This window comes from Homo sapiens, chromosome 1 (assembly GCF_000001405.40).
Source record: "Homo sapiens chromosome 1, GRCh38.p14 Primary Assembly".
NCBI classification, from domain to species: Eukaryota; Metazoa; Chordata; class Mammalia; order Primates; family Hominidae; genus Homo; species Homo sapiens.
Window position 1 is genome coordinate 109,525,064 of NC_000001.11, and position 22,772 is coordinate 109,547,835.

General features: G+C 50.8%; 1 protein-coding gene across 5 annotated transcripts, besides 7 other annotated features; it reads left to right on the forward strand.

The window, feature by feature from the left end:
- Nucleotides 2,064-2,463: an enhancer, noted in NCBI's record as "active region_1442". NCBI's record gives its function as "activates an Ori minimal core promoter by ATAC-STARR-seq in GM12878 lymphoblastoid cells {active_cell/tissue: GM12878}" and the evidence as "EXISTENCE:reporter gene assay evidence [ECO:0000049][PMID:35858748]".
- Nucleotides 2,514-2,563: an enhancer, noted in NCBI's record as "active region_1443". NCBI's record gives its function as "activates an Ori minimal core promoter by ATAC-STARR-seq in GM12878 lymphoblastoid cells {active_cell/tissue: GM12878}" and the evidence as "EXISTENCE:reporter gene assay evidence [ECO:0000049][PMID:35858748]".
- Nucleotides 5,604-5,772: a silencer, noted in NCBI's record as "fragment chr1:110073289-110073457 (GRCh37/hg19 assembly coordinates)". NCBI's record gives its function as "represses an EF-1alpha promoter that drives an FKBP-Casp9 reporter gene in an ReSE screen in K562 erythroleukemia cells {active_cell/tissue: K562}" and the evidence as "EXISTENCE:reporter gene assay evidence [ECO:0000049][PMID:32094911]".
- Nucleotides 14,322-14,823: an enhancer, noted in NCBI's record as "H3K4me1 hESC enhancer chr1:110082007-110082508 (GRCh37/hg19 assembly coordinates)". NCBI's record gives its function as "activates a minimal SCP1, AML or CMV promoter by ChIP-STARR-seq in primed H9 embryonic stem cells {active_cell/tissue: H9 hESC(primed)}" and the evidence as "EXISTENCE:reporter gene assay evidence [ECO:0000049][PMID:30033119]".
- On the forward strand, nt 14,809-22,197 carry GPR61 (G protein-coupled receptor 61). 5 transcript variants are annotated; one of them, XM_047431615.1, is made up of 4 exons: nt 14,809-15,004; nt 17,359-19,576; nt 20,248-20,617; nt 21,665-22,197. In XM_047431615.1, exon 2 carries the CDS (start codon nt 17,960-17,962, stop codon nt 19,313-19,315), a length of 1,356 nt encoding a protein of 451 aa, XP_047287571.1. In that variant the 5' UTR covers nt 14,809-15,004; nt 17,359-17,959; the 3' UTR covers nt 19,316-19,576; nt 20,248-20,617; nt 21,665-22,197. The 5 variants fall into 5 exon arrangements, with proteins under 5 accessions (XP_047287571.1, XP_047287573.1, XP_047287570.1 ...); XM_047431617.1 differs by having other exon boundaries at nt 20,248-20,326; XM_047431614.1 differs by having other exon boundaries at nt 14,809-14,890.
- Nucleotides 14,824-15,323: an enhancer, noted in NCBI's record as "H3K4me1 hESC enhancer chr1:110082509-110083008 (GRCh37/hg19 assembly coordinates)". NCBI's record gives its function as "activates a minimal SCP1, AML or CMV promoter by ChIP-STARR-seq in primed H9 embryonic stem cells {active_cell/tissue: H9 hESC(primed)}" and the evidence as "EXISTENCE:reporter gene assay evidence [ECO:0000049][PMID:30033119]".
- Nucleotides 18,628-19,166: an enhancer, noted in NCBI's record as "H3K4me1 hESC enhancer chr1:110086313-110086851 (GRCh37/hg19 assembly coordinates)". NCBI's record gives its function as "activates a minimal SCP1, AML or CMV promoter by ChIP-STARR-seq in naive H9 embryonic stem cells {active_cell/tissue: H9 hESC(naive)}" and the evidence as "EXISTENCE:reporter gene assay evidence [ECO:0000049][PMID:30033119]".
- Nucleotides 21,328-21,564: a silencer, noted in NCBI's record as "fragment chr1:110089013-110089249 (GRCh37/hg19 assembly coordinates)". NCBI's record gives its function as "represses an EF-1alpha promoter that drives an FKBP-Casp9 reporter gene in an ReSE screen in K562 erythroleukemia cells {active_cell/tissue: K562}" and the evidence as "EXISTENCE:reporter gene assay evidence [ECO:0000049][PMID:32094911]".

Consider the following 22,772-nt stretch of genomic DNA (forward strand, 5'->3'; position numbering starts at 1 on the left):
AATCTTAGTGTCTCCCCACAAGTACTTGATTGATGAGTACACAATACTATTAGTTGACTTTACAGTGGAAAAACTTAGCTGACATTATCTTAGCCAAGCGATAAAAGTTAACATCTCCAGGCCAGGCATGGTGGCTCATGTCTGTAATCCCAGCACTTTGGGAGGCTAAGGCGGGCAGATCACCTGAGGTCAGGAGTTCAAGACTAGCCTGGCCAACATAGCGAAACCCTGTCTCTACTAAAAATACAAAAATTAGCCAGGTGTGGTGGTATGGGCCTGTAGTCCTAGCTACTTGGGAGCCTGAGGCAGGAGAATTGCTCGAACCTGGGAGGCGGAGGTTGCAGTGAGCCAAGATCATGCCACTGCACTCCAGCCTGAGCAACAGAGTGAAACCCCATTCCCCCCCACCCCAAAAATAATAAAGTTAACATCCCCAGTAACAGGATAGGACAACTTGACATTGTGTAACTCTTGTTGAGATGAACTGAGAACATGGCCTCACTTCTGCAGTATTCCTGACAAAATGCATAACCAGAAACTACTCATAAGGAAACATCAGCCCAACCCCAATTGAGGGATATTCTACAAAGTTTCCAGGCTGGATTCTTCAAAAATATTAAGTTCAAGACAAGGAAAGATAGGAAATGTTCCAGACTGAAGAAGACTAAAAAGACATGACAACTAAATAGAACACATGATCCTGGATTAATGCCTAGACCTAAAAACAATGTTACTAGAATTATCAGTGAGGCCAGCACAGTGGCTTATACCTGTAATCTCAGTACTTTGGGAGGCTGAGGTGGGTGGATCACTTGAGGCCGGGAGTTTGAGACTAGCCTAGGTAACAGCGAGACTTCATCTCTACAAAAAATACAAAAAAACTAGCCAGTCATGGTGGTGTGCACCTGAAGTGACAGCTACTCAGGGGATTGAGGTGGGAGGATCGTTTGAGCCTGGGAGGTCAAGGCTGTAGTGAGCCATGATCATGTCACTGCATTTCAGCATGGGCAACAGAGTAAGACCCTGTCTCCAAAAGAAAAAAAAAAGGATTAGTGAAATTTGAATGGGGTCTCTGGATTAGCCAGCAGTTCTGTGTCAATGTTACTTTACTGACTGAGATGTTGTATTTTGGTTATGTAGGAGAACGTCCTTGTTTTTGGTAAATACACACTGAAGTGTTAAGGGGTAATAGGGCATCATGTCTATAGTGTACTCGCCAATGGATCAGAAATTACGTATATGTGATGTATACATATGAGAGAAAGAGAGAGAGAACACATACAAAACAAACTGAGGGTCGGGCACTGTGGCTCACGCCTGTAATCCCAGCACTTTGAGAGGCTGAGGCAGGTGGATCACTTGAGTCCAGGAGTTTGAGGCCAGGCTGGGCAACATGGTGAAAACCCACCTCTACAAGAAAAATACAAAGATTAGCTGGGTGTGGTGGTGCATGTCTGTAGTCCCAGCTACTTGGGAGGCTGAGGTGGGAGGATGGCTTCATCCTGGGAGGTGGCGGTTGTAGTGAGCCCAGATCGCACCACTGCACTCCAGCCTGGGTGACAGAGTGAGACCCCATCTCAAAAAACAAAAGCAAAATAAAAAAAAAAAGTTGAGGAACTGGGTGGAAGGGATGCAGGAACAGGGGTTCTTTGTATCTTTCTTGCAACTTTTCTGTTGATTTGAAATAATTTCAAAATAACAAATGAAAGAAACATCCACAGCATACAGAACACCTGTGCCTTTGGACTCCTGCAGGAGAGACACTTATAAGAGTTGGAAGTTAACAAGAGGTCAGAAGCAGCAAAGCATCATAGAAGGTGAACAGGATTTGGAATAAATGACATGGATTCGGTCCTAATTTTGTTACTTATTAGCTGGATGATCTGCAAGAAAGCGTTTCACCTTTCTGAGCCTGACGATAGTAATAATCTCACAAGAGTGCTGTGTGGCTTAAATTATTAAATAATGTATGTGATGGTGCTTATTAAAAACACTATTGCAAATATAAATCATTAGTAGTATCTCCCTTCTCCCAGAAAACTACAACTAATGAATGTAAAACTGTCCCTTCAGTCCCCACATCTCTTTCAGTTCTTCATTCAGCTGCCATTTCAGAGAGATGTAAGAACTTGCTTATAGACTGAGAATGGAAGAGGCCGGCACCTAGGAAGAGGCACAGTTGACGGCGAAGCCACCAGGGATGGCCACAATGCATGCATCTGTGTCCATGTGTGCTCATGTGTGTGCACACACACATCCTGGAAGCCTCGGTTTCAGGCGTCTTCTCTGTGAGCAGAGACCCTGTGGGGATGGATGCATGCTATTATAGATTCATAAACATCTGCTCGTGTGGCCTGGGTAGTCCCTTCTAGAAGGAAAGCCCCTTTGCTTCTGTCACTCCTGACAAAAATACTTGCGTACACAGCATTATGATACATACCATTCTCTAGCAACTTCGGAATCAGGGTCCTAATGCCACACACTGCAGATGAGCTGATAGAGAGCAGTGATGAGAATCAGACCTGCTTGTGCACTTTCCGAAGACTTTCATCCACATTCTCTCACACGAGCCTTAGAGCGACAGCAGCCTGTGAGGCAAACATTGCTCTCTGCATTGCTCATGGATCAGGACTTGCCCATCCTCAGAGCTAATAAATGGCACCAACGGGACATAAAGTCAGGACTTTCACGATGCCCCTCCATCCCATGGACATTTTGACACAGGATATGGTTTGTCACGGCACCTCCCTCACCTCCCTTTCCAGGGCCCTTTTCCTCTGCCTCTGGGTTCTGTTTCCTGTGTCCTTGGCTCCTCAGGGCTCTCCTCTCCTATGTCAGCCACACTGATCTCCACTCCCAGATTTCTGGCCCGTGAAGCACCCTATGCTAGGATTGCCTCTCCAGACTGTCCAACAACTCCTTCCCCTCTGCCCCCACATTCTAGCTGGAGCCACAGGGGTTTGGCATCTTAGCCCCTGTTCTGGAGCCAAGAGAGAAGAAAACAAGGAAGAGGCTACCCAGCCCATGGCCTCGGAAAGCTGGCCCTGGGAACTCACTTGAGTGCCCTCTCTATCTCCAGTCCGGTTGCCATGTCATCTTCTAGCCCAGGCACACGTTCCCTTTCCTCAAAATGCCAGCAGCAAGAGCAGTACTTGGTTTCTTCCAACTCACTCTACCCCTGTGAATCAGGCCTGAGGAAGTTCCAGCAATGCCAAGTTACCATTAGGCTCCTTCTGCTCTAAGCACCTCTTGGATCCAGACAGACAGATGGATCAACATCAGGCACAGCAGAGCCCAGGGGTCTCTGCTCCATGCTTTGGGTAGCAGCTGCTCCTAAACTGACAGGCTCACCCGAGAGGAGCCTACTTCTGGTGGCAGTGGTGTGCCCGATGCGCATTCTGATGGCCCCAGCTGTCTTCACTGTTCCAAGAGTCCTGAGGAAGAGAGTGCACCCTGGGCTTGTGAGGAGTGTTTGTTGGGTTTGCTGAGCATGTTAAATGAGTCAAGGGTGATCCACTAGACCTTAATCAGTGGCTTTCAGAACTTGGAGCCGAAGCCCTGTGGTGGAATGGAACCAACGCTGACTATCTGGAATTTGGGAAACCTCATCTGAAACCTGCCTCTAACCAGCTGGATGTCCCTGAGCAAATCCTTCTGCTCCCTAGGACACAGCTTCCTCATCTGTAACATGAGGAATACGCTGTGCTGCTGTAAGGGCCCTTCTGCCCTTTGTACACCTCTGGATGTATGAGTCTACCAGCTCTTCAGGGCAGGGGCTGGACCTGGGCCTGGGCCTAGAAAGAGCTCACATCTGGAATTCAGGCCTTCTGACCTCTGTGTTCTATTCACCACTGATTCTGGGAATGGAGGCCATGGTGGGAAGTCTGGGGAGCGGCCGGTGCTATGCATAGCCTGGCCTCTGTCCAGTGGGTAGGAAACTGCCCAGGAACCCAGCAGCTAGCTGGACCCAATAGGACTTCCAGTGATTGGTGCTGTTCCCATGGTGGTGCTGGAGGGTGAGGGTGCAGGGCTGGAGAGTGGAGGTAGGATGGAAGGGAGCCCGGCAGTCCCCACACCTCTCCTGGAGAGTGAAGCCTCCACCAGCGGCCTGAGGACATGTGCCCAGGACACCTTGGAGCTACATTAGAACTCAATGTGGGGCTGGGAGTGGTGGCTCACACCTGTAATCCCAGCACTTGGGGAGGCCAAGGCAGGTGGATTCCTTGAGGTCAGGAGTTCGAGACCAGCTTGGCCAACATGGCAAAACCCTATCTCTACTAAAAATATAAAAATTAGCCAGGCATGGTACCAGCTACTTGGGAGGCTGAGGCATGAGAATCGCTTAAATCTGGGAGGTGGAGGTTGCAGTGAGCCATGATTGTGCCACTGCACTCCAGCCTGGGCAACAGAACGAGACCGTCTCAAAACAACAACAACAACAACAACAACCACAACAAAACACACACACACACACACACACACACACACACGCACAAAACAACCACCACCCCCTCCAAAAACCCTCAATGTGGAATAAATGGGAGAAACACAGAGAGAACTAAAATGAAGCCCTCGATAGCAGAATCAGCCAGGCATAGCAGAGCTTAAGGCTTATTAGAGCTTGCTTTCTCCCTCTGTAAAATGAGGAGTGAGGCTCGAGCTATTTTGGAGGTCTTTTCTAGCCTTCACACTTTATAACCCTGTAAGTAAGAATCCAGCTCATTAGGTACTACTGAACTCCCCTCTGACAGCAGTCTTCTCTGCTGTCCTCCTTCTCCCTCCACACGGCAGGTCAGACCGTGTGGAGAGCCTTGCCCCTGCTCAGGTGCTGCCCAGCTAAGCTGCTGCTTGCCCAGGCCCGGGACAGGGAGCGGGAGAAAGACAGAACTATTGTCTCTTCCCTACCTCCTTCCAGTATCCCACACTCCCCAAGGGCCAGAGGATCCCCTGCCATCTCTCCACCCCACAGGAAACCAAACCCGGCAGAGCCCAGGGGCACAGAGAGGTGGGCCCAGGGCCAACAGAAACAGCTGCCTTAAGGTGTCATCTTGCCATGGGGGTGGAGAGGAGCTGCACTTTTGAGGTCCCCTCTGAGACCAGCTAGGTAATTTGAGCCTCTTTCTTGCCCTTCTTAATTCTCTGAGAGAAGGCTCCGAGGGTCCCTTCCAGCCAGGTCAGGGCCAGCCCAGAAGCCATGAGTCCATCTCTCTGGGCTCCAGGATTGAAGGAGTAGAGCTTTTGTGTGTGAACTCCAAGGAGCTCAGCTAGCGTAGCAGCGCTGGAGAGAAGCACAGCCAGAGTGCCAGAGAAGGCAGCCACTAGGCTGCTTTCCCCTAGACAGACGGGGTATTGATCCTGCTTGCACGCCACCCCCCTCTCCCCAACACTCTCCACTTCATGGCGCAGCTAATGGCCTGGAAAAAACTGGCCAGCTGTTCCCCAGCTGTGACATAATGAGCTCAGGGACGATCAATGCCGTTCCGGTCTCTAATTAGGCCAGGGAGCTGGCTGCAGCGAGAGTGCGGCCTGTTTCTTGAGGGCACCACTTCTACTCCAGTCCCCAGCTGCTGTCTGTTGGCAGCCACCTGGGCCCATGCATCTACGTACCAGAGGAGCAGACAGGGCCCTCCAGCGGCCCTTGGGAGGGTCATTTGACCCAGAGCTCCTTTTCCAGCAGCAGAAGTAGCGACTTCATACGCACATTAGGTGGGGAGCCTGGCCTGCACGTGAAGCTCAGGACTCCCTCCAGCTGCGGTAGCACCCCTCTCTCTGCCTGGGTCTGTCACTCATCCAGTGGCCTTCAACTGCAACCCTCCAACTCCCTACCCCTGAAGCCCTGCCCAGGACCCTTCCCACTACTGGTCCTGAATGCTAAGCCCAGGACTGCAAGGAAGAGGCTGGTAGCACAATTGGCTTCTAGCCCAGCCTCCCTCTGCTATTTATACCCTCAGTCCAGGGAGAGATGGATCCGATACTCAGTGTATGCACTGCAGAGGAGGAAGTGAAGATGGAGAGAGAGATGGAAAGCGAAGGGGGAAAGGTGTACACTGAGGCAAAGAAACAGAGAGGTCAAGGAGCAGAGGCCCACGGCCAAGAGGCTCCAGGACTCAGAGAGTTCTGAGAACAGGATGCAGAGAGCAGACGACAGATCAAAGAAGAGAAACCAAATAAGGGAGACAGGAAAAGTGAGAAAATGGGGCCATCAAGGAAGAAAGGAGATGAGATAGAAGAACCAGGACACACCCTGTGCTTGTGGGGGTCAGGCCCCAGGTGCTGGATCAGATGTCTGATCAGGGAAGCGGAGGTGCTGGACACACACTGTCCAGGGGCCTGGTGTGAAATTACAGGAGTTGGGAGAGAGTGCCTCAGAGGCACAGGAGCAGGGCTATGTGGGTGTGAGCAGAGGCTGGTCTGGAGGGACAGGGCTGGGCAGGACAGGCTAGGGATAGGAAGGCCAGGCAGGGATCCCCTCCTAGAACTGTGGCTGTGGGTTCCACTCTCTGTGGGTGGAGGTTCAGGTTCAGGCAGGGAGCTAGAAGCAGGTGTCAGCAATGCGGGGAGGAGAGAAGGGGACTGTTGTGGGGATTTGGGAGTAAGGAGGGCCGGAAGGGAGGGACGTCTAGGCTTCCTGCAGCCTCTACTTCAAGGAAGCTCAACATAGCTCCACGGCCTGGGACAGGGCATTCTTCAGCCAGCTTCCAGCCATCCTGCCATTCACACAATCACACAAATCAGTCAGATGGAGCCCCTGAGAGGGGTCTTCCTGAGATCCAGCTGACCCTGGTCATTCCTTTCTCAGTCTTTTCCCAGTCCTAGGACTGCACCTCTTCATGACTGTGGTTTCCAGAATAATGGCCTGGTTTGTAGAGATCAGAAATGCCCACTGCTGTTTCCTGTATCCCTCCACCCACCCAGACTGAGCCTCTGAAGCTGTCCGGGGCCTGGAGAGAGAAGCCACTCAAGGACAGCAGCTGCTGACTCAGACGCTCAAATTCTCGGGCGGAAAAGGACCTTAGAGAATGCCTAAAATCGTGGCCCAATCCCTCATTGGAAGCTGGGGCTCCGAAAAGCCGGGGCTCCGAAAAGCTGGGAGAGCAGCCCAAAGCGTACTGCCCACTAAATGTGGATGCACGCTGGACCGCCGGTTCAGGCCTCCTTCTGGGACACCAGTCGGCCCATCTCTTCCTCATAAGCTCTTAGGAGTAGGAGGGATTTTATTTAACGAGCCAGGGCCCTCTCGCCTGGTCCTCCCAGCCGACTGTGATGGTGTAAAAAGGTCAGAGTCCACAGGACCACCATAGGACCACGGTCTCCAGGAGGGAGAAGGCAGGTGGCGGTTGGGCGGGGAGAAGCCTGTCACCGGGGACTGCAGTCAACTCTTTGCAGCTCTGTGGCCAACACTGCCCCCTTGTGGTTGCTGGCTGTCAAGGCAGTCTGGGGGCCGGAAATGGAGAGGCTTGGGTCCTCTTTCCCACCCAGGACCTCACCCTCTAGGAACCCCTGCCTCGTGCGATGCTGATTTACATCCTCCAGGGATACCCCTCCAGGGGAGGCCATCCAGGAGACTGAGCTTCCACTTGCCATTCTGCAGTAGGGTCCCCAGGCATGTGGGTGAGGGCTGACCACCTCCCGGGCGCCCAGAAACCCCAGGGGCCACTCACAAGCTATCTCTGGATCCCCAAGGAGTCCCCCAGAGTTCTAGGTCTGGAAGTCTGTCCCTCCCTTCAACCAATGGGCATAAGAGTCGGGGGGTGCTATTTTTAGGTGGGGCAGGAACGCAGGGAGAGGACTTTGGAGGGAAGGAGATGTCTGGGAAAGAGGTCACAGGACCAGTATCATTGTGCTCAGTGGTGTCCAGCCTGGACAGGGAAGAGTCAGGTTCCCTTGGGCTCAGCAGGGGTTGGCTTGGCTGAGGATGAGATGGTTAGGGGCGACTGACCCAGAGACATAGAGCAGGGGTGCCCCCCAGAGTCAGACACCAGGCACTGCTGGGAGTGCTCTGTGGAGCTCTCAGTTGGGAAACCCAGCCCAGTTCTTTTTGTTTTCAGGCCAGGGCCAAAGAAGTAGGCCTTGAACTGGGCGTTCCAGGGTGGAAGGACCAGCCGATAGTCCAGATGCCATGTCCTCTCAGGACAGGCTGGACAGCTTCTTATGATATCATTACTCTATAGGGAGAATTTCCTGGCACTCAAATTACCACTCCACCTTTTCCCCTCCTCTCCGAAGAATGGACATGGTCAGTCATGAGTACCTGGGCCAAAGATCCTCAGAGCCCCACCTAAGAAACATGAGAGTCATTTGATGCTGTATCACTTCATCTGTGACCTCCCCTTTCTCCTGAGTGCACTCTGTCACACATTCACATGCACTATCTCCTTGATGACCTATATGGATTTTTATTTCTCCCTCTGGGCCTGAATGACAAGGAAAATCCCTCGTCTCTGATTCAACCCCTTGCTCTGGAACTTGTGGGTTCAGTAAATACTTATCAAAGGACCCACCAAAAGACAGGAGGCTGGGCCTGGAATCCCAGCATTTTGGGAGGCCAAGGTGGGAGGATTGCTTGAGCCCAGGAGTTTGAGACCAGCCTGGGCAACATGGCGAGACTCCCATCACTATAGGCGGGCAGATCATGAGGTCAGGAGATTGAGACTGTCCTGGCTAACATGGCGAAACCCCGTCTCTACTAAAAAAAAAAAAAAAAAAAAATTAGCCGCGTGTGGTGGTGGGCGCCTGTAGTCCCAGCTACTCGGGAGGCTGAGGCCGGGGAATGGCGTGAACCCAGGAGGTGGGGCTTGCAGTGAGCCAAGATCGTGCCAGTGCACTCCAGCCTGGGCGATAAAGCGAGACTCCGTCTCAAAAATAAAATAATAAGATAAAATAAAATAAAATAAAAATAAAAAATTAGCTGGGTGTGGTGGCACACCTGTGGTCCCAGCTACTCGGGAGGCCGAAGCAGGAGGATCACTTGAGCCTGGGAGGTCGAGACTGCAGTGAGCCATGTCTGCGCCACTGCACACTCCAGCCTGGGTTTCAGAAAGAGACTCTATCTTAAAAAAAAAAAAAAAAGATAGGAGATGGGCACATCTGTGGCCTTATGTTTCCCTGCTCAAGACATTTTGCTATGTTGACTTCTCAGTCTGGCTTCTCAGCCTGGCTTGCAGGGGGCGCAGTCCCATAAATCTACCATAAATCTACCTTTCTATTCTCACTTCTTCCCTACAGCCAGATTATTTTTCAGTCAAATTGGAGAACTCACAGTGCCCTAATATTTCCTAAACTTGCTATTTCCATATTTTTGGTAGGCCTTCTTTTTCCATCTAGACTACTGTCCTCAGCCTCTTTCAGTTACTCACAGTTAAAATCCTACTCCTCCTTTAAGACCCGTGCCACTTCCTTCATGAAGTCTTCCTAGATTTCATGAGGAAGTAAGTTCACTTTTTCCTTTGAATCTCCCCAGCAATTTCACCATCCCTTGACACTTACAGCCTGCATTGTCCCCATCCTAGACATAAGCACCAAGAAGGCAAGTCTGTATTTGTTTAATCTTTGTAACCCTCTTCCTCACTTCCTATACAGAGCTTTGCATATAGTAGTTGCTCAATAAACATGTCTTGAATGGAGTGACATAGAGCCTGCAGTTTGGGCTGCTAGGAGCTGAAGGAGGTGGGAATAGGGTGCTCCCAGGCTTCAGGAGACCATAGGAATGTACTCAAAATGGGGAGACAAGGACAGTACAGAGGTAAGTGGGGTGTCTGGGCCTTCTCAGAACCTTGCTGGGGAGGAGGAGCTGAAGAAAACAGACAGCTGGGAGGTCCTAGGGATATGGTGGGTTGAGGAAGGGCCCCAGGAACCCAAATGTGCGCCATTAATGACAAGCTGAAAAAAGGAGCAGGACTCCGGAGGCTTGGGTTCTGGTTGCACCTCCTTTACCCTCTAGCTGTGTAGCCTAGCCCTGGGCAAGTTCCCTTTCCACTCTAGGCCTGTTCATCTGTAAAATCAGGAGTTAGACACCTGACCTCCTGTGATCCTTTCAGCTTTGCTACTCTGGCCCTATGTCAAGCTTCTGAAGCAGGGTTGTGCTGAGCAGTGGGGATTTGTGTCTGCCTCCCCAGGCTTCAGCACCGGGGATGACCCCACCCAGGTCCTGGACAGTATTTCCCAGAGAAGGGGACAGAGCCCAAAGCCATGGGGAAGGAGGTACGTGGCCTGGGTAAGCTGCGTCCTGGCTTGGAGGATGTGAAAGAAGTTCCAGGGGGAGATAACTCCCCTCCAATTCAGAGCAATTAAAGTGCCAAGTTTTCAGGCCCCAGGGAAGGGTTTTGGGGAACTCCCCTTTCCATAACTGTGCTTCCCTGTCTTCTTCCTTGCCTCATCCCCATAGTATAGATCTGGGGTTTGAACCCCAGTTGCTCAACTGTGTGGCTCTGCAAAAGTCACTTAACCTCTCTAAGCCCCAGTGTCCATATCTGTAAATGGAATCATTGAGACTAACAGAGAAGATTGTGTAAGACTACTCACACGAATACGCCTAGTGCTGTGCCTACTGCCAGAGCTCCCTTCCCGAGTCTGGAAAAGGACTGTTAGGGCAGATGGCCCCCAGGCCACAGGGCAAATGACTAATTCGCTTTGCCCATGCACTGGGTGTAGGGCAGGGCCTGTGGAGGGACAGGCTGATGATGGGAAGGTTGGATGGGAAGAACATGCAGAGGATATTACCCTGATTGCTAGTGAGGAAGGGCCACTCAACCTGTAGACCTATTTATTGTGTTATTAATAAATAGGAGACCCAGGAGCTCTCTGGGACTTTTCTGTGGGGTTCCAGCATTGAGCCCCTGCTGATGGACAGGAGGTGGGCAGCATGGGAAGGGCCCTGGTCCATAGCAGGCCTGGCCTAAACATGCACTGTGGGTGTTCCTGCCACTCTTTTGAGCCTGGTTCATCCGAGGCCCCCAGTTTCTAATCTGGTTGGGAAGGATTTATTTTTGGGTCCCTGTAACCTAGCAATGGGCTCACATGACCAGTGGCAGCTGCAGGCTGAATATACCATTGGATCTCAGCTCCTGGCAGGGGGTGTAGGCCAGACAGTGGGGGAATAAAGAGAATGGAAGGGCTCTCACCTCTGCTTTCCTCTGCCTCCCTCCTCAGCCCCTTGGCCTGGCTCCCAGATGCTGGGCAGGGTGAGGTGAGTGCTTGGAAAGCAGGCATGGCTGGTGCTGGTACAGGGGGGCCCCAGGAAGCCAGGAACTGAGCTGTGGTGTGGAGGTCCCAGCTGTAAGCCTGCTGTCTGGTTGGCAGGGGCGGGGGGGTTGGGTGCCCATGCGGATGGAGGTGGATGCCAAGAGGACACAATGCCAGCAGCTTGGCGGGGGAGGCCTGGCTAGGGAGTAGGCGGCTGACAGGCAGTCTATGTTGTGGGATCTCAGGGACATCCCTGGTCGATGCTGGAATCCCAACGTTCTGCTTCTTCTCTTTGTTCCCTGTTAAATTGTTAATATTCCTGGGAAAGAACACATTAAGTTGCTATCAGTGCAAATGGGTTTATCAACCTCTTTCCTGAGAGCAGATTCTGACACAAGGCAGAGAAGGAGGGTAGTGGGTGCCACTGAGCAGGCAAGGGGCTCTAGGGAGGGGGCAGTGGCAACATAAGAAGTCTTCAATGTTTATTGAAGAAGTGGATGGATGAATGAAAGATAAACTTGATTGGCTTCCAGGTCTCATCCTGGGGCAGAAAAGGGTGGATGGGCAGACACGACCCTGTCACGAGGTGCTGGTGCACAAGGGTTGGGTAAAACTGTACCAGGGAGCAAGTCTAGGATGCAAAGATCAGTCCTCAGCAGCAAGGGCCCTGCCATGATACCAAGGGAAGGGGTGCCACTGTTGGAAACAGGGCCTGGTCCCCGTCCTGTAACAGGATTCCCTTCCTGGGTGTGTGCACAGCATAGTGAGCCATGGATCTCTTATGTGGTTTGGGGGATCACACTCAGTTTCTCCATCTTGGTCTTCTTGCCCCCTCCATTGTGCTAAGCTTTACTAAAAGGAGGGACTGGCAGGTGGGGTTGGGGGTGTGCTGTCAGTAGCTACTCCACACCCTGACTGAGATCATTTAATAAGATACAGCATAAGAAGTGCCTCCCAAAGTGGGCCTTCAAGAACTAGTAGCATTATTATTATTATTATTTATTATTATTATTTTTTGAGACAGAGTCTCACTCTTATTGCCCAGGCTGGAGTGCAATGGTGCGATCTCAGATCACTGCAACCTCCACCTCCTGGGTTCAAGCGATTCTCCTGCCTCAGCCTCCTGAGTAGCTGGGATTACAGGCATGTGTCACCATGCCTAGCTAATTTTTGTATTTTTAGTAGAGACGGGGTTTCGCCATGTTGGCCAGGCTGGTCTTGAACTCCTGATCTCAAATCATCTGCCCGCCTCAGCCTCCCAAAGTGCTGGAATTACAGGCGTGAGCCACTGTGCCCAGCCAGCATGATTATTATTATTATTTATTATTTGCCCACAGGCTAGAATAAGCAGTTCCCCCGCCGACCTCCTGAGCCAAGATGGTTCCAACAGCTGGAACATGCTGCCTCTTTGGTACTGCCTTTCCCAATAGCTCTCTGGGAGGGGCTTCAGGACACGGACGCCTTGCCTGCTGGCCACCACATGAGCTGTGATTACCTGTGCTAGCTCCCTGAAGCTGGAGAGGCAGGCTATGTTTGTTTTGCAGGCTCCCTACCACTATTAGATAAGCTTGGAAGTGAAGAATTTTGCCCATTTTCACAGACAGCCAACTCACAGGCCAAGGTCTTACCACCAACCAATAGAATGGCGCCAAACTGGAACCAAGGTTTTCTGACTCCAGTCTAGCGCTCTTTCTAAAATCCTGTTCCAGTGGGCCCAGGTCTGCTCCAGTTCTTATTGAATCCCTCGGAAGGGGCCATGCCAGTCTGGGCTGGGGCCCTGCAGGAAGAATGTGGGTGCTGAGCAGGGACAGGCTTTACCTAATCCCAGACAATCTGCTTGATGCCAAATTAATCTTGCCAACACAACAGCACAGGGCTTCCTAAAAATCACTTTGCTGTCTACAGGTTTTCAATTTGGTATTTCCATTTGAATTTCTTGTACGCAGGTATGCCTAATTTTGAGGTCTGTTTTAGGCTTTCTGGAAGGCAGTGACTACTTCTATGAAGATAGCTTTTAGGGCTGTAGTCCACAGTCTTGTGTCAGGCCACTGGAGAGGCCACGGAACGAAGGGAGAAGGAGGAGGAAATACTTGGACTTCAAACAGATCTGGGTTCAAATATCAGCTCTTGCACTTATTAGCTGTGTGATTTGGGGAAAGTCACTTCTCCTCCAGCACCCGGTTCCTCACTTATAAAATAGGGCAAGTCATGGCTGCCTCATAGATTGGTGTGGGGATCAAAGAAACTGTATGTAAAGGGCCTGGCACTCATAACAGCTCAAAAAGTGGTGGCTGGTGACAGCGGCACTTGCTGCATCGGCTCTTGGTTTGTCAGTGGCCTCTTTGTTTTTGACCTGGGGCTTGGGGCAGCCAACTTGTCCCAGTGAGGTCCTTGGGTAACTCATTGTTCTTATGGCTCTTTGGGTTGGGTCTGGTAAACAATTCCAGAATTCCCTTTTTCCTTCTTAGAGGCAGAAGGAGTCCCTAGATAGGCAAGTCTCAGGGAAGCAGGCTCTGGAGTAGGGGATCATGCCTGAATTCCCTGTTTAGACTCATGGCTCTGCCATGTGGAGCTATGTGGCTTTGAGCAATCTCTTTATCTCTCTGGGTCTCAGAAACATGGATACCTTGGCCTGTAGGATGTCCTACAGCTTTGCAATGTTAGGATTCTATCCTTGGGTATCAGTCATGTACCCGGGTAAATGATCATTTTCTTCATAGCTAGAGGGAGGCCATGCCCCTTCATTGCGTCTCTGAAGGCCCATCATGCCACAGATGGGCGATGCTCAGTGGCTGATGCTACCTAGCTCTGTCCAGTCCCACAAATCCAGATCAGTGTGAGCATTCCTGAGTCCCTGGCCCCCACTCTGTCTCCTTCAGGAAGCAGTGTTGTGGTGGTTCCCATGGTGGCTCGGGGGGATGTTAGATCCTCCCGCCCCCTCCCTGCCAATCTCCATCAGCCCTCACAGCCCCAGTTCCAATAAACATACAATCTAAGCAAATAATAATAATGTGCTTTTGGGAGGCAAGGGCAGGGTTAAGACAAAGCCTTCAGCTGCCCTTCAAACCTGAGTGCTGCTCCTAAACCTGTCCCCCATACGCATTAGGCAGCTTCCAAAGGGGCCAAACCTTGGACCATCCCCTGGAGCCTCAGCCGCCTCCCTGGCCTAAGCCTTGGGGCCCTGGGTCTGCGCTGACCTGCCTGCATCAGCACCTTGGTTCTGATGTCACACAGAACCATGCATCTCTCCTATCTTCTCTTTGAACTGCTAAGAAATCAAGGCCAAAATGCAACTTGCCCAAGGTCACACGGCTAGTAAGTGCCATAGCCAGGCCTTAAACCTGGATTTTCTGACTCCATGTACTTTTTTTTTTACTTCATCAGGCTGGTCAAGAGGGTCTCCCCTACCTATCATTTCCTGGCCCCACGAAATTTTTGAGACGCAATCCAGCAGCCTGAGAGAAGTGAGAGGAGTTGAGCTCACTGCCAGGCACCTTGCCTGGGGCATTGGTGCCCACCTTTTTGCTCCAGAAGTGACTCTGAGGGGCTGGGTGGGAAGCAGGAGGCCATTAGGACCCAGAGGCTCTCGGAGCACTCTGCTTTGCCGGCTGCCTCTCACCGCTCACTGCAGTGCTTCAGGCTTCAGCAGCCTTGGAGAAGCATCAGCTGAGAGGAGCTATCACATGGGAGCCGGGACTGCTCAGCAAAGGTAGGAGTTGCCGACTAGGCCAGGAATGGGGGCCAGACCCAGAGCCTGGTGGTGAGTGCCAAGGTATCCCCACAGAAGGGTGGCTTTCCAAGGACCAGCCCTGCCTACATTCCGGTGAGCAGTTTGATCAGGAGATGGGCTCTCAGGTATCCCAAAGGCGGTATTGGGGTGTGGGCATCTCTGAAGCCCAGAGCTGGGGGGTTGATCATCTCCTGCCGGCAGGAGTACCCACATCCTGCAGACAAACAGCATTCTCCATCTGTCTTGCTCCATGTCATGGACATGGGTCTCCCACATTCTAGGAATGGGCCCTTCAGCATACAGGCTGATGGGCAACTGTGTCCTGGGCGTGGGCAACTCTGCTGAGGAGAGGTGTTGTAGCTCCCTGGAAATCTTCCCTAGCTTAGGAGGGGCACGCTCTTGTCTGAAGGAAGGCCAGGCTCAGGTCTTTGGGATGGAAGCTCTGGATCTGGAAAACAGGTGCATGTGAATCCCAATACCTCTGTGGCCTTGGGCTGGGCACTTATGCACATCTTGCATCCTGTAACTTGACCATGCCCCTGCTAGAGGCCCAGACCTCAGGCCCTAGTGGCAAAGCCTTCTAGGTACTGAAGGTCCTGGAGGTAAGAGGGGTGCTGTTGGAAGTAAGTAGTGGGGGAAGGAAAGCATCTGTTGGGGGAGTAGGCATAATGATATGACCTGGGAGAGGAGTGAGGCTCCCTGGGTTTCACCTATGAAACTGTTACACCACAGCCCTCCCCTCCATAACCCCAGTCCATTAGTGAGGGAGTGCCCATTAGCCAGATACACTGATCTGTCTGTTAAGAGGTAAATTGGAATCCTGGCATTTAGGAGTCACTGTGGAGACACTGGCAAGCTTGAGGGAGCTATGAAAAAGAGCAATGTCCAATGCCTTCTTGCTCAGGGCTCCATCATGGCTTCGTGGCATCCCTCCAGCTCCACGTGGAAACCAGGTCTGCTTCCCTCCGTCTGGGACTCTTGATGTCCATCCAGACATGGTGGGCCTCTCCTCCTTCAGCCACCAGGGAGGGACTCTGAACCACATCCTCTGGGCCTCACTCACAGACAGAAGGGATAGGTAAATCAGAGCATGGAGAGTAAGAAGGAAGGATGCTTCTCCTAGCATTTCTTTCAGGCATTTTTCCTGGTAGACTCTAATGAGAAGCTGATGTCTCACTTTTGTGCCCGCTCTTCAACTTCTCTGCAGACTCTAAGTCTCTGTGGGCATCTTAACTGTGAAATGAGCTTTCTGTGTCCCTAGAGAGAGGCACGTCTCTAGGCAGTTGCCCAAAGTTAGGGCTTCCTCAAGTCCAGGAACCCCGGCTACCCTTTCCACAAGAGAGTCCCTTGGCTGGCACACAGCTGGCTGACTGAGTGTTCTTGGAGTTTGTCCTAGGGGGCAGGGATTCAACTACCAATTTGAGTTTGATTCAATTCACAAAATTGTATTCAGCACCTATTGCATGCATAGCATGTTAGAAGTTGGATTGGTGTAAGGTTTATGGAAACACCAAAAACCAAAGGTGACTGTAAGGCTATAACTGTGGAGGAGAGTGGGGCCCATCTTGCCATGTGATCCTCTTTATTGCAGCCATAGAAATGATGGGTTTTTAAACTGAGCAACCTCAGTGTCTCCTCCCTACTTCTTGTTCTGTGACTGTAGTAAGTCTAGAACCAATGCGGCTCTTGGTCAGGGATCCTCCAAGGGTCAGCTCCAGAGATCAGAGATTTGGGGATCTGGGGAGCAGGAGGTTGGCAGCAGCTCCTTTCCCACAAGAGGGGCACAGTGGCCTTGAAGAGTTCATGAGTGGGTGGAGAAGGGCAGCTTGAAGCAACTTCCGGCTTTGGGAGCAGTGGAGGCTGGATGAGCTGGCCTCCCAGTTTCCTTCCAGACGGGACATTTTGTTTTCACTGCTCCTACTCAACATTCCCAAAGTGGCAGCTCTTTGTGCTGGGAGTAGTGATGTCAAAAGAGCCTAAAGCACAGCTCCCCTTTTCAGATGATAACCCTAGGGCAGCAAGAGACAGTTTTAGAGACAGCTGAAATTCAACAACTATTTACTGGATGCCTATTATAGTCCAGCCGGCACGGAGGGCACCTTCACATATGGCATGGCACAGTGGGCAAGAGTACTGGACCTGGGGCCAGACTGCCCAGGTAGGTGCCCAGCCCTTGCCGCTTACTAGCTGTGCGACCTTGGGTAAGTTACTTAACCTTTCTAGACCTCAGCTTCATCTCTTGCAAAATGGAGATAAAAATATTATCTACTTCATAGGGTTGTGTGAGGAATAAAATGAGTTAATATAGGTAGAGTGCTGAGAACAGGGTCTGGCATGTGGAAAACGCCGTATCAATGCTACTGCTTGTCATTAGTATTATTATTAACAAATCACGCAGGATCCAGAAACACAGTTGTGAAGCAAGTGTTCTTCCTTTCATTTTACAGATGGATTTATGAGGAAACTGAAATTCAGAAGATTCACAGAGTTAGTAATGCCCAGAACTGGGACTAGAAACTAAATTTTGTGCTCCTTCTACTCCCCAGCAGCTCTTGCCATTCTGAGGAGACAAGAAATCAGGAAATTTACATAAGGAACCCTAAAACTGAGGCACTATCCCAGAGATCAGCAGGACCCTGGGAAGGAGAAACAGGATTTAGAATCCCCGGCTAACAGTTCTGGAAAGGGTAGAAGGGTATGGAGAACAAGAATGGCAGAAAGGAGATGGAAAAGGAAGAGGTGAAGGCCATTCCGAAAGCGGAGTGTTGAGTGGGTCAGGCTCCTGCACCTCTCACGTCTCCTGCTTCTTAGCAGTCACCAAGGCAGACCCTGCAGCTACCTCCGGCCAGAAAGGGGATGAGCTTCTGATCCTTCAGCTGCCTGGCCTGGCGCTCTGTACGCAGACAAACCTGCCCAAGAGGCTCCAGTGGGAGGTGCCCCCTACGAAACCAGGAAGCCTGGGCCTGGGCTCGCCATCCCAGGGTCGCTGGACTAGGATGGGGGATGGGCCTGTGACAGGAGGTACCCTGGGTGCCCTCTTTCGGCCCCATGGAGTCCTCACCCATCCCCCAGTCATCAGGGAACTCTTCCACTTTGGGGAGGGTCCCTCAAACCCCAGGTCCCTCTACTGCCAGTGGGGTCCCGGAGGTGGGGCTACGGGATGTTGCTTCGGAATCTGTGGCCCTCTTCTTCATGCTCCTGCTGGACTTGACTGCTGTGGCTGGCAATGCCGCTGTGATGGCCGTGATCGCCAAGACGCCTGCCCTCCGAAAATTTGTCTTCGTCTTCCACCTCTGCCTGGTGGACCTGCTGGCTGCCCTGACCCTCATGCCCCTGGCCATGCTCTCCAGCTCTGCCCTCTTTGACCACGCCCTCTTTGGGGAGGTGGCCTGCCGCCTCTACTTGTTTCTGAGCGTGTGCTTTGTCAGCCTGGCCATCCTCTCGGTGTCAGCCATCAATGTGGAGCGCTACTATTACGTAGTCCACCCCATGCGCTACGAGGTGCGCATGACGCTGGGGCTGGTGGCCTCTGTGCTGGTGGGTGTGTGGGTGAAGGCCTTGGCCATGGCTTCTGTGCCAGTGTTGGGAAGGGTCTCCTGGGAGGAAGGAGCTCCCAGTGTCCCCCCAGGCTGTTCACTCCAGTGGAGCCACAGTGCCTACTGCCAGCTTTTTGTGGTGGTCTTTGCTGTCCTTTACTTTCTGTTGCCCCTGCTCCTCATACTTGTGGTCTACTGCAGCATGTTCCGAGTGGCCCGCGTGGCTGCCATGCAGCACGGGCCGCTGCCCACGTGGATGGAGACACCCCGGCAACGCTCCGAATCTCTCAGCAGCCGCTCCACGATGGTCACCAGCTCGGGGGCCCCCCAGACCACCCCACACCGGACGTTTGGGGGAGGGAAAGCAGCAGTGGTTCTCCTGGCTGTGGGGGGACAGTTCCTGCTCTGTTGGTTGCCCTACTTCTCTTTCCACCTCTATGTTGCCCTGAGTGCTCAGCCCATTTCAACTGGGCAGGTGGAGAGTGTGGTCACCTGGATTGGCTACTTTTGCTTCACTTCCAACCCTTTCTTCTATGGATGTCTCAACCGGCAGATCCGGGGGGAGCTCAGCAAGCAGTTTGTCTGCTTCTTCAAGCCAGCTCCAGAGGAGGAGCTGAGGCTGCCTAGCCGGGAGGGCTCCATTGAGGAGAACTTCCTGCAGTTCCTTCAGGGGACTGGCTGTCCTTCTGAGTCCTGGGTTTCCCGACCCCTACCCAGCCCCAAGCAGGAGCCACCTGCTGTTGACTTTCGAATCCCAGGCCAGATAGCTGAGGAGACCTCTGAGTTCCTGGAGCAGCAACTCACCAGCGACATCATCATGTCAGACAGCTACCTCCGTCCTGCCGCCTCACCCCGGCTGGAGTCATGATGGGCCGCTGGACACTCGGAGGGATATGGGGCTGGGGCCAGTTATGATTGCAAGGACCACCTTGTGGGATCACCTTTTCCCAGCTGGCTAGGGCTGAGGCTGGGGTCTCTGCACACAGCTTTTGCTTAGTGTTTCCTGGGTCAGGAACAGAGCCAACAGGATGAACGTGTGCAAAAGCCTTGGACTTGGCTGTGATCTTTGACTGCTAGGGGAGGGAACCTGGGTATGGTGAGACGGTGACGAGAGAAAAGGGTCACAAAGGTGAGGTGAAACCTCTCAATTGGTGAAATTTCCATGCTTCCAGAAGCAGGGAATTCTCTAAGGGTAGGAGTTGGAGGATACAGGGCAGCAGGCCAGGTTTGGAGTTATTCTAGGGGCCATTTAGGATATTTTATTTTTCAGTGTAATTGTCCAGGGCAGTAATTGCACCCAAGCAAGGTAAGAAAATGACCCATGTTTTCTCATTTCCTTGCTAGGTTTAAAAAGAACTAAATTATAGCCAAGTGTTTCCACTTGAGTTAATAGATCATTTTTCTGGTTTTATACCTGAGATTTCCTTAAAATGAGAGGACCAGTAGGGTGTATTCCTTTACTGAGTTTGGCCAGAAACAAGGCAAAATAGAAATTAGGGTACATGGAGTAGAAGATAGGAAAGCTGACTGCAGCTCTCTCTCTCCCACCCTTCAGGAAAAGCCCTTCTGTTCTATTTTTCTGTCTCTCTCCTGCACACAGGAGATCAAGGGTAGAGCCTGATCTTAGCAGAGACAAGAATAAGGCAGGATGGCTTTCCTCTCTTTTAGGAGGAAGAATTAGAATGACTGGGGGTCAGACGGGCGAGGGTGGAGGTTAGCATTTGAATTGGTAAAGTAGCTGGAAACAGAGAGGCCAGGTAATCAGCCTGATCAATAATACTGCGAATCTTTTCTTTCCAGGACTGGCCTCCCTGATCTCTCTCCTCATGGCAGCGACCCACCTCCAGTCCCCTGGACAATCGGGTACAAGAGACTTAAGGTTGGGCATGGGAAGGGTGGGGTTTCCATGATCCATTAAATGCCTTCCTACTCCCATTCATCGCTCTCAAAATTAGCTTCAGTGACAAAGACTTAAATCTCTCTCCTATCTGCAGCACTGGGTTGGAGAGAGGGCACGGGAGTTGGTCTTGGCTGTTCATTGATTGAGACTGTAGGAACTGTGTTGGTTGGTATTGGTGGTGGTATTTTCAACAAACAGGGAATAACTGCAAACTGGACAGGACACCCATCTGGGACCACCTGTCCATCCTACTTCCCTCAATTGAATCAGGTAACACTAACGGATCAAGGCAGGGCCAGAGGGTGGTGTGGTCTCTATTTGAACAAATTCCTGGCTCACTGAGCATCAAAAGGGGAAATGGGCTGGTGGGAGTGGGATAGTCTCCCATTTAAGCAGCTAATAAATAATTTTTATGATAAAAGGTTATACTGATAACAACATTGACTCCTTTAGTTCAATTCAGTGCATAATAGTTGAACACCCACTAGTCCCTGGGACCCACACAGGGCGTGTGGTCATTGCTTTTAAGGAGTTCATAGTCTAAGTTGATGAGATACCTTATATTTTCACAAAGCACTTTGATTTGATAAAGCACTACAGAATGTGCTTGAGAAATATATTGGAGAATATGTCCATGGCTCTAACTTCTGAGAGTTCAGCCCGTGGCAGCAAGATGCATACCTTGAAGCTTCCTGCAGATTGTGGAAAGCATAGGGGTTGTAAATGAAACTCTCTAATGAAGAAAAAAAATTAAATGAAACTGGGCAAACAGCTTTCCCCCTTTGTTCTAGGAAAATTTCTAGGTTGTCTTCCTACCACTAGATTATTATACCAGTCTAGTGCCTATTACATTGTGGAAGTTCCCTAAAAACATAGTATATATAGGGAGGAGAGTCCTTTGTGATTGAAAAACATGTTCACCTCTCCTCCCTATTAAAATAAATGCATACAGAGGAATCAATCATTCCTAGACAGGGAAAAAACTCTTCTTTCAAACACCACTGATCAGCTATTAGATCCAAGGAATTGCCAGCAGGTGGCAGTGTGAGCCCAATGGAAGGAGGAAAGGCGAGTGTACGTGGTGGGAGGAGGAAGGGGAGGGCATTAAACATTGCCTGGCAGCCATTTTGTTAATTTATTTTGCCTTTTCCTTTGACTTTGCCCTCCAGCCCTTCCTTCACATACATCAAAGAAGAAAGTTTTAAGAGCAAGGGTATCTTTAATTCAGGCTGAAATTTCCTGACACTGTGATCTCACTGGTGTTTATTACAGAGTTTGACATACATGGGTTCATTTGCCATTTATTTTTCCCTGTAGGAGTGGATCATGAAGGAAATAAAAATTTCTCTTTTATTATGCTGAGAACTTTCCCAACAATTTCTGCTATGACCACCTTCCAGGAGTTTTCTAGTCACCAGATGCCTTGGTAAAGTTCAATACGTAATCTTTGGCTCTGAAAGCTGTTCCTGGACAAAATCTGAGCTAACTCACTGAAGAATCAACAGATTGAGGCAACCATCCGGTCAGTTACTTTTTCCTGCATCCTGCTGGTGTTGGGGTAACTCCCAATCCTAGATGAAAACCTTAGACTTTCTGTTGTCAGGTGTCCCCAGGCAATATCCTACGGGGGCATGATAGAAAAGGGTAACTCTGGGGTCAGATAGATGTACTTACTCACTGTGTGAAGTTGGGAAAGCTGCTTAATTTCTCTGAGCCTACTTCCTCACCTGTAAAAATGGGGATCATTATTACCTACCTCACAGGGTTGTTGTGAGGATTAAGAGATGGGATGTGGGAGCACCTAGCCGTATCTGGCAAATAGGTACTCAATAAATACTGGTTTTACTTCCCTTTCCTCTTGCCCTTTTTCCCCAAAAGTATTGATAATGGAAAAGCAGTCCCTTTCATTCTTAACAGTCATTTGGGAATGACTGGGGGACTTTTCAAACCTTGAAGAATTGGCATTGCTAAGAGTTAAGGTGGACGAGGCTTTTTAAGGTGGCTCTAATCCTCTAATTAAATCCTTCTAATTAATGAATCATCACTATATAAACCTCTCTGTTGGGACCTTACTTTCTCAAGTTCAGATTCTATTAGAGAAATAAATTTACAATCACAGGGAAAGGTTTTAGGGACTGAGTTCCCTTCGCTAGAACGTATAGTAATTGTGGGCTTATTTGCCTGAAAAGTTGATTTAGGACTACCTTCACGCAGTATCCAGGGTTATTAGTGAAAGATGCTATCTGCCTGGGACTTTCACAGTGGACTTAAGTTTCAGGTGATACTAGGGCTGAGAGGCAAATTTTACTAGAACCTCTCCTTTTGCATGTTATCGCAACAGGAAATTTTAGTAGGAGATTCACAGGATGCACTGGTTTGTTTCGGGGTGTGGAATTGAAGTTGACTTATCTTGGTTTTAGTTCTA

What these genes read in the sequence shown, in the direction of transcription:
- GPR61 (XM_047431615.1), top strand. Translation starts at nt 17,960, where the DNA reads ATGGAGTCCTCACCCATCCCCCAGTCATCAGGGAACTCTTCCACTTTG.